Raw genomic sequence first — 16663 nt, 5'->3', positions numbered from 1 at the left:
TTCTTGAAATTAAAAAAACAGTTCCCTAAACAAAGGAAGACGACGGAAATTTGGGGTGATTCTTAGCAGCATGTCTGGCCGGCAGCCTTGCAAGTGATTTATGGGGCCCGTCCCCTTCCCCCTCCTGCGCTGGCTGAAGTCAAAGCCATATGCCCTGTTTCTGTGCAGAGGCCTGAGCTCTACGAAGCAGGAGCTTCACCCAGACGGGGCTGGCGGGGAGGGAACCAAGCTGGGCCACCGGGCTGTCATGCCAGCTCCTAAAAGTGGGCATTTGTTTCCTGCTTTCTAGAATCAAGTCAGTCCAAACCTTATGGCTGTATTTCCATTAAAACTGTCATTGGAATATCGCACACGGGTCCTCTCCGTAGGCCATTTGTCCTGAAAGAAAATTTCTGAGCAAGGATGGGAAAGGATCCTGGCCAGGGGAACACTGACCTGGTGTATTTCCCCCTCTCGCCTGCACTGACAGACAGAATGAGAACAGCACGGGCTGCATTTGTTGTTTGCTTCTTTCATGGCTTGCCCTCTGGTTTTCCTGGCGAGTAGGAGAACTATTCAGTATGCTGACTTGTTTAATTTACTTGTAAAAGAAAATGTGCTTTAAGATAGACTTACATTGTGCTGATGCTGAGTGCACCTACATCCTCATGAACCAGCATGGTGGTCTGAGGCCCCCAAGATGACCACTCTCAGGTCTAAGGAGTTCTTTCTGTGTTTTTCCCCATTACTGGAGCTTTATAATTTGTCTCGGAAGCTCTGCAAGAAGAAAAGAAGCTCATTTCAAATTCTTTCTGCTCCTCACCACCCAGGAGCCTTTTGTGTGTCTTTAACTCATGAGCTCTGGCAAGGGACTGAGTCAGGAGAATGAGGTGAGCGCAGTTTAGCCCCAGGAAGGAGAAGACCCAGTTCTGGACTTATGCCAGCCAGACTGAGCTGACAGAACCATATATACTTGCATTCCAGTGCCTTCTAGATAAGCCTCGACACACAAGAGAGGTCATGAATATCATTACTAATATTTCTATATAATAATTAGCAAGAATTTACCCTTTGCCAAGCCCTGGAATTTTAACATGCACAATAACCTCATGAAGTTGGCATCGCCATCCCCATGGTACAGAACCAGGATTCAGAGATGGTGGGTAACTCACCCAGGGTTACCTAGTTAGCATCAGGGGCCAAGAGAAGAGATAACCGGGCTAAGTAGGTAATGGAAAGTGATCTCTTAGCTCAGTTTTCATATAGAAATTTGGAGAAAGGCAGGGACTGAAATGTGAAATCTCTCTGCAGTGGTGGTTTTGCCGCTCGAAGATGGGTTTTCCCCGAACTCTTTACATTTATCAATCAAAGATTGCTCTTCAAATTTTGGAATTGCACAGAGGGAGAGGAAGTATGCTGAAGACAGGTAAAGAGAGGTGGAGAGGGAGACAGAGAAGCAGAGAGAGGGGAACTAGGGAAAATGAGGTGTGTGTGTGTGTGTGTGTGTGTGTGTGTGTGTGTGTGTGTGTGTTTGGTGTGGTGAGAAATGGAGTCACATTGAAATAACAGAGGCTGGGTTGGAGCACCTAAGTTATTACGTTTTAGACACAGATTGGCACCAAAGAACCTAGAGTAAGTATTAAGAGACCTTTACAGTTTCTACGTTAGTGTTAGGAGGAAAAAACGATCCCTCCTGTCTCTCCCTCTCAGGTTATAGACAAAGACACTAAGGTCCAGAGAAATTAAACAATGGACCAAAAGCTGCATAACTAACCACAGGCAGAGCTGGAATGAGAGCCCAGGTCTTCTCTAGGCTGATGCCCACTGCCTCCCTCCCTCAGGGTTGTAGAGACCAGGTTGAAATCAGATAGGTTGGCATTGCAATGGCATATTCCCTGGAAGACCATTTATTGGAGAATAGCAGCTGTTGGGAAGTTGCTTCTCTGAGAGCTGTTTCATGACAGAAGTGGCAGCTTTAATTTGAGTCCTCAGAGAAGAAGAAGCGTTAGAGCCATTGGTGAGCAGGTCAGTTTTCAGTTCAGGAAAACTGAATACCCAAGTAGACAACAGCAGTCAGATTAGTTACATTAAAACATGGCCCACGGAATTCTGCACACTTCATTCATTCACTCATTAATTAATTCACTCTCCAAATAGCTATTTAACCCATCATGTATAGGAAATTTATAATCAAGCACATAAGCAAATATAATGGTGATCATATTTGCAAATGTTTAATCATGATGTTTTGACATCCTCCTAAATCATGGTTCCACGCAGCCACTCTCTCCAAGGCTGAACCATGAGGCGAACTGCCCCAGGGAAGGAAGGATTGGGTACTACCTGGATCAAAGACACCATAGACTGCTTTATGGCTCAAAGCCAGACTCTAACTCCTCTCAGTCCCATATGTTTATTGACCAGATCCCATTTTGTATGTGAATTCCCCCTAGATGCTTAGGTACAAAGATTTTAGAGATCACCTCCACACACTCATTTTACCAGAGAAAAAACTAAGACCCATGGAGGTGGACAATGTGCCCAATGGAGTTAGTGGCCAAGCCTGACCCCAGGTGTCTACTCAGAATCCAACATTCTGAATTTTATGCCACTCTGTTTGCTTTGGTCCTTGGGGAAGCATCCAGGTTTTTACCCATATTCATGTTTTATTTTTAATACACTTTTATAGTTAAGGAAATAGTTTGCCTTAACAAAATTCCTGTTTCATCATCTCTGGGTGTTTCTATTAAGAACAAAGGCAAAGGTTCTGGCTGTGTGGTTGTGAATATTTTCGTCTACTGATGGGAGATAGCCAGGAGTGGCCCAATTTGAAGTGGTGAAGATCAGAATGTGCTTTGAATTGTGATTGCTCAGGCTTCAGTTATAATCTTAAAAATTATTCAACCCTGTCCTTGAGGTGCCATGCCATGAAAGGAAACACTCTTTACTTGTGATTTAATGAGCATGTAGGATGACTTATATGCCTTTGATTGGGTCTGTGTGTGAACCCTGAGCCCGAGAGGACATTTCATGCCTTCTCTGCATCATTGCAGCTGTTCTGTGGCTTGACCTGTTGACACAGCCACCATGTGGTGTCAATATTTGCAGACTGGACAGTCTTTCTCTGCTGGATAGTTTTGCTTGTGGGAACTAAAACTCTGCTAGTTTACTCAAGGATAAATAGATCCTCATGCCAAACTCCAATTCCTCTTAAAGCACATGAGAGTCCGTGCAGTACAAAAGGGAGAGAATGCAGCGGTTGTAAGCTGGATCATGGCATGCTGGGGTCTGGAGCCAAACTGCACCTGCCGAGGGCTCTGGCACACATCATGTCTTCTTCTTTCCACGATGTTCTCCCTCCTGCACAATGTCAAGTGATAGCCTTCCCTTTAAGTCTGGGTTAGCTGCCAAAAAATAAAAAAGGAGATGGGATTTTTTTTTTTTTTTTTGCCATTTCTAGACTATATCTATGACACAGAGATCCTTAGAGATTCTTTTTTTCTGAAGACGTGAGTATTGCATTCCTCAAAGACTTAACATCCCTGACAACAGTCTCCATGGTGTTAGGAAGAGGTAGAGGCATAAGTGAGAGAAACAGCTGGAGCCATGTAGCTGTGGGCAATGTGGTTGTCATGGTGTCCATCCTAACAGCCATGGCAAAGAGGATTCCATGATGACAATGAGCCGTGTCCCTTACCCTGCATGGAAAAATAGCAGTCAATAGAGAAGGAGACCTGGAAGGTGCAACCAACTCTTTGTGCATGTAAATTTGCAAAATGAAGTGAAGTCAAACATTTTCTTTTTAAAGAATATTTTCTCTGACTAAAAAATTTGTGGTTGATGTTTAAAAAGTAAATAGAAGAAATTATAAAGAAAAAAGTTAAAATAGCCCCAGATTTCAATACCTAGAGGTATGAAGATTTTAATGATATTGGCAGATGGCTTCCCTGAGTAGCTTTTTGAATCATATTACATTTGCAGGAGTATGAATACTGATCTCACTGCATCATCAGCATTTATTATTAAAATTGAAAAAATGCCATTTTTATAAATGAGAACTGACAGGAAAATCATTGGTTTAAATAATATTTATTTCAGTAATATAATTATTAAAGATTTGTATATTCTTCAATAGTGAATGGTGTGTTTACACTTTTAACTTTTTTGAGATGGTTTTGTATTCTTATGAATTTGTGAGGCCACTTTTTACATTAGGTAAATTACCATTTACATGTCATTCTTATTACAAGTACTTCTTATTGTTTGCCATTTACCTTTTTATGATTCTGTTACTGTTTACAGGTTTGTCAAGGCATAATTAATGTATAGTAAACTGAACATTTTTAAAGTATACAGTTTTTGAAGAGTTTTGGCATATGTATTAGACCATCACTATAATAATAAAAGTGAACATATCCCTTGTTCCAAGAAATTTCCTTTTGCCCCCTTTGTAATCCCTCCCTCACACCCCTCACCATCCCCAGTAACTGCTGATCTGATTTCTGATTTTATACAGTAGTTTCCACTACTTAATATTTTTATGAATAGATTCATGCAACATGTACTCTTTTTTGCTGACTTCTTTCATTCAGCATAATTATTTTGAAATTCATCCATATTGTCACATGTGTCAATATTTATTTTTATGGCTAAGTAGTATTTCCTTGCATGGTTTTGTTTATCTGTTCAACCATTGGTGGAAATTTGAGTTGTTTTCTGATTTTTGGCTATCACAAATAAAACAACTATGAACGTTTCTGCTCAAGTCTTTGTGTGAACATGAGCTTTCATTTTTAAGTAAATACCTAGGTATAAAATGATTGGGTCATCTACCCAACTGTTTTCCAATGTTACTGTACCATTTTACATTTTCACCTGTGGTGCATGAGCGTTCCAGTTTCTCCACATAATCACCAACGCTAGGTATGATCAGTTTGTTCAACTTTAACAATTCGGATAGATGTGTGGTAGTATTTCATTGTGAATTTAATTTGCTTTTTCCTAATAATGCGTGGTGCTGAGGATTTTTTCATGTGCTTATTTGCCATCCTTGTATCTGCTTTGATGAAATGTCTGTTAAAATCATCTGTTCATTTTTTTGTTTGGGTTGTTTGTCTTATTATATAATTTTGAGAGTTCTTTTTTTTTTTAGTTAAAACCCCTTTATCAAATATACATTTTATAAATATTTTCTCCCAGTCTGTGACTTGCCTTTTATTATGTAATATAATAAATAATATTATGTAATATAATACTCTTCTTTTTTGAAGAGTATAAGTTCTATATTTTTTGAAGTAAAATGTATTTCTTTTTTTAGTGTCTGTGCTCTTGTGTCCTATTTTAGAAATCTTTTCCAAACCCAAGGTCACTAAGATTTTTATCTTCATTGTATTCTAAAAGTGTTCCAGAATATGACACGTTTTGAGTTAATTTTTATATATAGTGTAAGATAATAGTCAAGTTTTACCTTTGTGTCTGGCTATCCAATATTAGCAGCATATATAAAAAAGATTTCCTTTCTCCATTGCACCTTGTATTAGTTTTCAAAGGCTGTTTTAGCAGATGACCACAAACTGGGTGGCTTTACACAGCAGACAGTTGTTTTCTTACAGTTCTGGAAGCTGGAAGTCTGAAATCAAGTTGGCAAGGCCAAGCTCTCTGAAGACTCTAGGTTTGGATGCTTTCTTTTCTCTTCTAGCTTCTGGTGGCGGGTGGCACTCCTAAGCAGTGCTTTGGCTTGCAGGCACATCACTCCAATTTCTGCTTCCATCTTCACATGACAGCCTTTCCTCTGTGTATGTTTCCGTGTCTCTGTTTTCTTGTAAGGACACCAGTCATTGGATTAGGGCCCACACTAAATCCAATATGACCTCATCTTAACTAATTACACCTGCAAATATCCAGTTTTTAAATAAGATCACATTGTAAGGCACCAGGTACACATGCATTTTCGAGGGGATACCATTCAACTCAATACAAAAATTACTTGCACACCTTTGCTAAAAATCCACTGACCATATACATAGCTTATACTCTGTGATTTGGTTCATTGCTTTTATTTTTTTAAGGTCCTTGTTCATACTGAGATCAGTTTATATATTAACCTCTGCTTTGTTCCAGTTTGTTAACTTTCTTTTTATTTGAGACAGGGTCTTGCTCTGTCACCCAGGCTGGAGTGTGGTGGCACGATCTCGGCTCACTGCAACCTCCACCTCTTGGGTTCAAGTGATTGTTGTGCCTCAGCCTCCTGGTTAGCTGGGATTATGGGCACTGGCCACCACGCCCAGCTAATTTTTGTATTTTTAGTAGAGGTGGGGTTTCACCAGGTTGGCCAGGCTGGTCTCGAACTCCTTATCTCAAGTGATCCATCCCATCCTTGGCCTCCCAAAGTGCCGGGATTACAGGTGTGAGCCACTACACCCAGCCAGTTAATTAACTTTCAAAAATCTAGAGTAAATTTTGGAGTATGGTATCTGGTTACACTATAAATTTTTTTCCCCAAATAAACAATATCCCTTTCTTCTCCTACTGCCTAGTATTTATTTTATTTTCTTAAATTGCTCTATACATGCATGCATGTTTAAACTTCATGTAAGTATGTATATGTTATTACATATACATTTATTTTTTATTTTTATTTTAAAAAATTTTTTGAAGAGACAGAGTCTCGCTGTGTGGCCCAGGCTGGTCTCAAACTTCTGGCCTCAAGCAATCCTTATACCTTGGCCACACAAAGTGTTGGGATTATAGGCATGATCCACTGCACCCAGCCCACATATACTTTAACAAAAATTCCGTTTGTGGAATAATTTCTCTCATGCACTTTTTTGTGTTATTTCCTTTACAATATAATAAGGTTTTATAAGCATGTATGTTAGGGCCAATTCAATGACCATTTTATTCTATTACTCTTTTGAGATTTGTAGCAACACTACACTCTTATATTCTTTATAACATTATAATTGCCATGAAAAATTTAGAAAAATTTTCCATCACTTTTCATTTTTTCTCTGCTTATTCTTCAAGATGGGTTTTAAAATAATTATTTTGAAATTATTAGAGTCCAGTCCATTGTAATTTCTAGTGGAATAGCATTTTACCAATGCATGATTTGGGGGAGAACTGTCACTTTTTGAATTACAGTCATGCCATAGAGAAATTTGTATAGAACTTCTTTTTTGTAAGTCTTTTATATCTTTCATTAAAGCTTTATAGTTTTCATCATCTGGGTTTCTATTACATATTTCTTCTTAGCAATGCATTCTTAGATATTTTTCAATTATTGCCGTCTATTATAAATATTTTCCTATTATATTTTAAAAATCAGTTTTTGCTGGTAGATAGGAACATAAATGTTTTTGGTACATTTGTCCTTTTTCTAGTCAGTTACTAAAATTGCTTATTAATTCTGTAGTTTAAAAAATTGTTTTATTTCCTTTTGGCAACAAATTTTTTTTTTTTTTTTTTGAGATGGAGGCTTGCTTTGTCACCCAGGGTGGAGTGCAGTGGCGTGATTTTGATTCACTGCAACCTCTGCATTCTCGGTTCAAGTGATTCTTGTGCCTCAGCCTCCTGAGTAGCTGAGATTAAAGGTGCAGGCCACCACACCCGGCTAATTTTTGTACTTTTAGCAAAGACTGGATTTCACCATGTTGGTCAGGCTGGTCTTGAACTCTTGACCTCAAGTGATCCACCTGCCTCGGCCTCGCAGTGTGCTGGGATTACAGACATGAGCCACCGCCCAGCCTGGCAACCAAAATTTAAACTCAATTTTTTTCTTCTAGTCTTTTCAATGACTTGTTTTCTGGTGGCTGGACTAATCTCTTTTTCACAGCTGCAGTTCGAGGGCAGGTTTATGTCTTCCGCCATAGCTTAATTCTCAGCATCTGGCAAGGGCAATTGTGCTCATCTGATTGTCTCCTGCCCTTGCTGCATTGGTCTCTGAAACTCTGAACATCGTGGTGCATTAAAATGTACAATTCCAAGTATGCGGTGCAACCAGGGCTCTTCTTGTGTCCCCATCTACAGGTCTTCCCTTTTGATACCATATTTTAATATAATGTCCTGTTACCAGTTTCTATCCTAGTTCATGCCTCGTATGTTTTCCTGAGAATTACTCTGTCCACATGTGGAAGACAGCTGATATGGGTAGCACTGTGGCTATGTTAGAAGGCAGCAACGAGGCAACAGAGGAAGTTGTCTGGCTTTCAGCTTGGTCCAGATTTATAAGCAGAGAAAGAAGACAATAGGAGAGGGAGGAATGATTTTTCTTTCACCTTTTAGCAGATGGTTTAGTTCATTTGCTGGCATTTTCTATCATTTTTGCAGGTAATGGAAATTCTTCCAGATTTTAGCAACCAACAGATAGCCACTGCTGATTTTGAGACGGTTGCACATTCTTAACCTTTTCTCCTACTCCACAGGCATTTCAGTGGAAAGCTGGTAGAGTTTGCTTGATGGGTTACAAGCCAGATGCCATTCTTAATAGGAAGTTGAGCAGTCTGGAGGCAAATTAAGTTAAGACTTTAGGGACTGGGATTGATTGACTGGAATTCTCCCTCAAGTCTCAGAAGACTTTATGGAAAGAGGAATTTTTCTTGAACATTTGTACAAGCTCTTCCTGCATTACTACCTTATCTACTCTTCCCCTTAAAACCTAGGCTATTATTTTTTTTCGATTTTATTATTATTATACTTTAAGTTTTAGGGTACATGTGCACATTAAAAGCCTAATATTTGCAAAAGAAATGCTTTGAAAATTGTATTACTTCTCATCTGTTATTTTTATGATAGATGAGAAGTAATACAACTTGCAAGGCATTTCTTTTGCAAATACTAGGCTTTTAAAAATATTTGAGGTTAAGAAGTTGGCAAGAACCCCACATTGTAAAGAAAGGTGCTAGGCGTATCCACAGGAAAACATGTGATCCAAACTGGATCTTCCAGCATTAGCTGGCTCCCACTTCAAGCCCAATACATAAGAGGAGAGATTGTGCTGGTGAGGAAGAGCCAAGATTTCCTTGGAGAGAGTTGTCAGGGTGTCCTGTGTTCTCCCTTCTGAAGGATGTCCTTCTTCCACCTCAGACAAAGCAAACGACATTTAAAAAGAATTACTCGTAGAGAGTATGGTTACTTTCCAGAAAGAGAACCTGACATATCATCCTCAATAGATGCATACAGAACCGGAGAAATCCTATAGGCCCACCTAAGGGTGTATAGTGATGAGTTTCTGGAAGAAATTGACCTTGGTTCCTGGAGTTGAAGTAGGAGGAAGGTGCCATCATGTTCCATGGATTTTTACTTGGAAGAATGTCTAGGGGTGAAATGCTGATTGGAGTTCAATGGAGGGCTGAGGTGGGGAGGGGTGGCCTGTACCTCCAGAGTTTAAGGGCAAAGACATAGCATTTTCCCTTGAGCCAGTGAGCATCACAGAAGCCAACAGAGGAAACTAGCGTAGGGAGAGTCATGAGAGGTTAGTGAGAAAGTGTATCGTCTGCAGAGGGGAACTGCAAGCTGGAGGTGTCGAAAGGTCTCTCCTGGGACCTGTGAGAGAGAGAGAAAGCTGGCATTTGCACAACTGACCCACAGAGGATTCATAAACCAAATTACAACATTACCTGCCAAGCAAGATTCTTGCTGTCTCAGCGAGCTTCCCCACTCAACACTTCACCCCGTCCTTGGTCCTAGAGAAACCAAGAGCAAAACAATAAGAGGAGGGAGAAGGAAAAGAAGAACAAGGTGAAGGAAGAGCAAATGGACCATGTTCTCTATTCCCTCTGCCTGTCACTGCCACACTCCAGTGAAGAATCTTTATCCAGAGCTGGGTAAGGGGAGAGTTTTAAGTGAATGAGCAATTGAAGCATTTATTTCTATTAAGCAGGATTTTTGGGTGCTTTGTAATGAAGTTCTTCTGATACCAGAAAGAATTACTAAAGCTATAACGATCTGTCCAGGACAGTGATAAAGAATTAGATAGAATTCATATAAAGAAAGTGGTTTTCAAAAAAAAGTTGGTTTCCCATATTCCACCCTGTGAAATCAGTCCACTTGCTATAGCAATTACACTTGCACAAAAAAACCTATATGAAAAGTTAGTCACGTGGGAATTCTTTGCTAAGCTGCTGGCAAAATATGGGGATAAAACCAGGTTTCTTAAATTCATAGGAGAGGAATTCACTATTTATCTTGGAGTTTCTCACTGTCAGATTCTGCAGGGATGATTAATAATGATACAAACACAGTTTCTCGGTCTTCAGCGGTGCTAACCTTGACCAGAGCATGGACAAAAACAAACAACAGTTTTTAACATAAGCAAAATCTCTGCTCTAATAAAAGAAAATATACCTGTGTCTTTTAGACATAAATATATCTTTTCTTGGTCAATAAATGTCAAAAGAATCTATTTGACTTAAAGCTATTCAGATTTATATTTGGGTTTAATGTAAATTATGTATAATAAAAGGTTATAACTTATCTAATAAGGTGGGAGTCCATGAGTCTACACTGATATAAATGAATGAAGAAAGAATAAATGAATGAATGAATGGAGAAGAAGGGAAAGCTTTTCCTTATAGTTAGTAGAATACTAACAGATAAATATAGAATGAATGATGGAATTAGAAAAATACCATTTGCTAACCATCATAGTAATAATTGGTTCTAACATAGTGGATCAAAGTTTGAGGAATAAAATAATATTTACATGGTCTCAAAGTATATCCCCTTAAGGCACTTCTTGTTAGAAAGGATAAAAACTAATATTATGGTAGAGATATGTGGCATATACCACCTTAACCAATGATCAAAGTTAACATTGCCAGAAATGGCATGAATCAACAGCATGGGCCACCTGATATGAGTGACCTGAGAACTCACCATCATTTCCAGAGTGTACTCCTGCCCAAGGGCCATAACCTGAATCTAATTCTGAGGAAACACTGGACAACCCCAAATTGAGGCATATTCTCCAAAATGCTTGGCCTATGCTCTTCAGAAATATCAATATCATAAAGTACCCCAAAAAGAGTCAAGAACTGTTACTAAAGAGACATGAAATCTAAATGTAGCCCATGATTTTTGGATTTTCTTTTCCTGTAAAGAACATTCTTAATAATGTCCTTTTGTCCAATTGGCAAAAATCTCAAGATATGTAGATTAGATGATAATATCGCTTCAACGTTCATATGTTCATTTTGATAATTTCCTGTAGTTAGGTAAGGAAATTTCTCACTCTTTGGAAAGACACACTGGAGTATTTATGGATACATTTTACTTTAAATCAACCTGAAAATAAACTAGGAGAGGAAAGGAGAAAGAGAAGGCTGAAACAAACATAATAAAATGTTAACATTTGAGGAATCTAGGATAAGGGCATTGGACATTCGTTTTTCTATTCTTGAAACTTTTCTATAAATATAGTTTGTTCAAATAAAATATATGCAATAAAATTTTAAAGCTTAAAAATACATAGTATGATACTAATGTCTTCTTTTCTATTCTCATGCTTTAATAATCATCATAATAAGCATATATACAGCATTTACTCTCTGCCAGGCTCTGTTTTAAATTGTGTGTGTGTGTGTGTGCACATGTGTGCACACATGCTCGTTTGATCTTCCTCCCATAAACCTAGCAATATTATTCCCATTTTCCCATCAAAAAATGAAGGGACAGGGAGGTTAAGTAATTTGCCTCTGGGTTCATCCTGATCAGTGTTGGAGCTGGGGTATGAACTCCCAGGAATCTGGCTCCAGGGCCCACGTAAACCCTGAGCCACTCAAAGAGACTTCTTATTTTAAAACTCCTTAATATCACCTGGAACTCCTCTTTCAAAGTGTTTATTTGGAGTCTGTATTAGTTATCTGTTTATGCCTCACATATTGTCCCAAAACTTAGTGGCTTGAGATAACAGTCATTTAGTATCTCAGTTTCTGTGGATGGGAAATTGGGTGCAGCTTAGCAAAACACTTCTGCTTCAAGATCATTCCTGAAGGTTGTAGTGACGCATTTGACTGGGGCTGCAGTTTCATCTGAAGGCTCAACTGGGGGATATTTGCTTCCAAGATCATTCTTGTCATTGTTGGTAGGCCTACGTTCAGCACTATGTGGACCTCCCATAGAGGTGCCTCATGACATAGCAGCTGGCCTCCCCTGGGTTAGTAAAGCAAGAAAGAAGGAAAGAGAGCACACCCCAGACAGAAACTAAAATCTTTTTATAATCAAATCCCAGAAGTGACACTCCTTGACTTCTGCTGTATTGATTTGTTTCTAATTAATAGTCTATTGAATAGTTAGAAACAAATCCATAAGTTTATCCCACTTTGAAAGAGAGGGGTTAAACTGGGAGTAACTACCAAGAGGTGGGGTCATTGGGGGCTGTCTTGAGGCTGCCTACTACACAGTTTAGGTACTGGCTGGGAGCATATTTTTGGCTGTTCCCTTTGGGCACTGTGATCTCTTGAAAGAGGCCAGGTTTTGAATACAGCTAGAAACTATGCAACTGGGGCATGGAATGCTAACTTTCTAAGAGGCAGCTTTGCTTCTTCCTGGCAATGAATACAAATTGGCCTCGTATTATGTTTTTCATTCTGGTACTATTAGCCCTGTAGGTGCTGGACATCACTCCCAGAGACCAGCAAGTGCCTGGCTGTGACTCCTGGGCCTCCCCCTGAGACTGCCCATTCCCTCTCTGCTCACTGTGCCCATGTCTTCATCAGCAACCCATGCTGGACTCCCTGGGGGTAGGAAATGTGTCGTTTTTGCTAAATCTGTTGTTTCCCACCAGCACAGCCCTGAAGCCAAGGACTGGGTTAAAAGAGAACTAGCTAATTCTCTAGAAGAGCTTGCTTGATTTTTGGCCCCACAGAGGGTCTGACATATGGCTGAGAGGTTTACACACTTTGTTGGTTCTACAAGACAGGCTTTTATACCTGGGCAGTTGTAATAGAGAGACCAAACAGATTATAGACTTGATAACATCCCAGGATTACAGCCTTAATCTTTTCCCCTTAATTGGAAAATCCTTTTATAGGGCAACACCTTTGTAAAAAGTAGAGGAGGCAACAGCTTATAAAACAAGACGCCATTTTCACCAGGTATTTCTCCTGCTATTCTATGCTTCCTCTTTCTTTGCTCCCAAATTCTCATTGTTGAAGTTATTCCTTTGAAATGGGCACAGTTTTTATGAGGAGGAGGAATAGAAAAGTAAAAACAGGCCAGGCACAGTGGCTTACACCTGTAATCCCAGCACTTTGGGAGGCCGAGGCAGGCAGAGCACCTGAGGTCAGGAGTTCAAGACCAACCTGGCCAACATAGTGAAACCCCATCTCTACTAAAAATACAACACTTAGCCAGGCGTGGTAGCACGCACCTGTAATCGCAGCTACTTGGGAGGCTGAGGCAGGAGAATTCACTTGAACCCGGGAGGTGGAGGTTGCAGTGAGCCGAGATCACACCAGCCTGGGCAACGAGAACAAAACTCTGTCTCAAATAAATAAATAAATAAATAAAGTAAAAACAAGAAAATAATCTTATTTAGTTCCATCACCTGAAGAGTAACTACATTAATATGTTGTTGTGTTTCTTTCCTATTTTTTGACACATATATACTTTTATTAAAAAGTAAAACTAGAATTATTTTACGCAACCTCTCGTTTTTTCCACTTAGGATTTCGTGAATGACTGCTTTGTCTTCCATCCTGTACCTACACCTTAGTTGATGCATCCCTTATCGGGAACGTTTACTTTGTTTCCAAGTTTTTTCCCTTAAGAATAATGCTATCATGAATATCCTTGTGCTAAATTGTTTTGCATATCTATGAGGATTTCTTTCAGTGACATTCCTGTAAGTGAAATTTCTGGGTCGGTAGAAGAAATAGACATTGTTATGGATGCTGAGAGCAGCACTGACTGAAGTTCTGGAAAGGGAAGCGGCTGCAGAATTGGACATGAGGAGATGGACACTGGGGTGGCATGGGCAGTGCAGACTGGGGCTTCAGCATGTGGGCCCTAGAGTAAGACAGTCCTGGCCTCTGGCCCCAGCTTCATTTCACACAAACACTAGTTCTTTGATTTTAGGAAAGTTATTTCAATATCTATTTGTTTCTTTCTTTTTTTTTTTTTAAGACAGATTCTTGCTCTGTCGCTCAGGCTGGAGTGCAGTGGCAGGATCTCAGCTCACTGCAAACTCTGCCTCCCGGGTTCAAATGATTCTCCTGCCTCAGCCTCCTGAGTAGCTGAGATTATAGGTGCCCACCACCACACCTGGCTAATTTTCCTATTTTTTAGTAGAGATGACATTTCACGATGCTGGCCAGGCTGGTCTCGAACTCCTGACCTCAGGTGATCCAGCCGCCTCAGCCTCCCAAAGTGCTGGGATTACAGGCATGAGCCACTGCATCCGGCCGGTTATTTTAATATCTGAACCTCAGTTTTGTCATCTGTAAAAGGGACTTAAAGTCATCACGTATGTCAAAACGTAGGTGCAAGTGATTTTACCAAAATTCTACCTTAGAAAAGAAGGCATTTCCAAATAAAAGAATCCTTACCAATTGTTTCAAACCTTGGGATGCTGTCTCACTTAGTTTAACTTGACAAACATGGAATTGTTTAAGGAAAAAACACTGGCCTGAAAGGACTTCCATCAGTGCTTGTTTGGAGTGCTTACTGAGGTTTTCTGACAGAATCAGTGAACAGAAAGGAGGCAAATGAATTGAACCCATTTAGCAATTATTCCTTGGAATATGACCTCATGAATGCAAGCATTGGAGGCCATTGTAAACAAACCCTGTGAAGATTCCTTTAAAAAGCAATAAGGTAAATAGTTATATTGTAGAACTCCTTGATATACACCAATAGCATGAATAAATAAAACATCTGTCCTAATGTGATATTAATGTGTATTCATTTACAGCTTGGGAAAAAATTTCCAGTGACAGTGTGCCACATCTCAAACAATTCAGAGGGAAATGAAGGTGATATGTCCTGTAAAAAATGAATTGAATGACTCTAAAATTGGCTCTAGAGATAACGAACACATTGATGAATAAAATTCTGTAATATGTAAGACTGGAAAAAGGCACTATTTCTACATTAATGTATTATTTAGATAGTATGTGGTTTTAAATATGCATGTGCAACGGAATTAAATTTTTTAAGTCATATTTGTTTTATTTATATCTTTGAGTTCATATAGTCAATCGGATTTTTTTAAAGTGTTGATGGGAGAACTTCTCATTGGAGAAGATGGGTCTCCTTATATTTGGGCAGATTAGTTTTCTAACTCATAAAGTTGTGAGAGAATAAAAATGTGATGTTTACAAGGCACTTATGCCTCTGCCTACCATACAGCAGGTGCTCAATTAATGCTAGCTCATGTTACGTGGGGAATTGGGCAGCTGAGGGAAGCAACAGAGAAGCACCCGCTGAGGTGCCAGGGGTAGGGACAGCAGGAAGGTTTGAGAACAGAGGGAACAGAAGGCAAACTACTTATTTTGTCATTTGGCTTAGGATGAGGTTTGGCCATGTAGAGTCGTTTGTTTCCAATTTTTTTTTTAACTTACGAAAATGCTGTTTCGTGTGAAGGTCCAACAGAGCTCTCTGACTTTTATACAATGCTTGGAAGCATTTTAAAAATTACAACCAAGATAATCCTGTTCCCTCACACTCAATTTAAGCAGAGGACAGAGGCTGGGCTTTGGGCCAAGGCTGAGACTTCCAACAATCAGAGCGGGTCCTGTGCCCCGTAAGGCCTTCCCCTCTCTTCCCTCTTCTTCACTCGGACTTCCCTAAATGTAGGGGCTAATTTCCCAAGCCATTTTTAAAGGAAAAGAATAAATGTGGTTTTGGTATCAGCTTCCTCTGCCAGGTTTTGACATATGGATCTTTGGGCCACACTCCAGAAAACTGACTGTGGAGTGAAGAGAGAGACAGAAAGAGCGAGAAAGAGAGAGAGAAAGTGAGAGTGAGAGAGAGAGAGAGGCCTATCTGTATGTTAACCTACCTAGTTTAGCAGAAAAAGGAAATGGCAAGAATTTTAATGTGATCTTATTTCTTTTGACAGGTGCTATGAGCTGCATTTTCAATTTGCCATTGTTCTGGGCACCGTGTAAATGTCTATATTCCAGGGCCAGAGGTTTGAATCTAGTTCCTCAGGCACAGTGCTTTAACAGTGAGGACCATCTGGGCTGTAACTGAATGTCTATCTCTAGTTGTGTAGATGGCAAACTGACTTCCACCAGGATGGAAGCGGGGTGACTCTGGGCATGGCCATCACAGTCTCCCACTGGTCTTTGGGTCACTAGTCTCCCTGTGTGGCCAGCGGGGATCGGCAAGTTTGAGCTGAGAGGTGGTTTATGTGATGCTCCAACCCAGATTGGTGCACGCGCTAGAAGAGCTTGCGAGTCCCACCTGTACAGAAAGGGAAGTGAACTATCTAGGTCATCTTTAAAAACCTCCTGTGAAGAAAAAATATTCTAGAGCTTGATATACCCCTCAGGGAAGCCCACTCCCTCTAACCGTGCCCATGTTCACACAACGCAGCTACACTACCGGGTGATTACCCCTTCCTTGCCTGGGTCCCTGGGCACCCCTTCCCTTCCTGTCTCACACTCCCTCCCCTTCCACCTGAAGCACAATCTTTCTTCTCCTGTGTTTAGTCTCTCACTATCTCCGCGTTTTCTCTCTT

General features: G+C 40.0%; 1 protein-coding gene across 2 annotated transcripts in view, besides 1 other annotated feature; it reads left to right on the top strand.

Moving 5' to 3' along the window:
* Positions 1 to 16663, top strand: part of FRMD4A (FERM domain containing 4A) — a 687219-nt gene that overhangs the window by 67473 nt on the left and 603083 nt on the right. The window lies entirely within an intron of this gene.
* Positions 7541 to 7750: a silencer, noted in NCBI's record as "fragment chr10:14297701-14297910 (GRCh37/hg19 assembly coordinates)". NCBI's record gives its function as "represses an EF-1alpha promoter that drives an FKBP-Casp9 reporter gene in an ReSE screen in phorbol 12-myristate 13-acetate-treated (for megakaryocytic differentiation) K562 erythroleukemia cells {active_cell/tissue: K562(+PMA)}" and the evidence as "EXISTENCE:reporter gene assay evidence [ECO:0000049][PMID:32094911]".

Source organism: Homo sapiens, chromosome 10 (genome assembly GCF_000001405.40).
Source record: "Homo sapiens chromosome 10, GRCh38.p14 Primary Assembly".
Lineage (NCBI taxonomy): Eukaryota > Metazoa > Chordata > Mammalia > Primates > Hominidae > Homo > Homo sapiens.
This window is presented reverse-complemented; position numbering and strand designations above follow the sequence as displayed.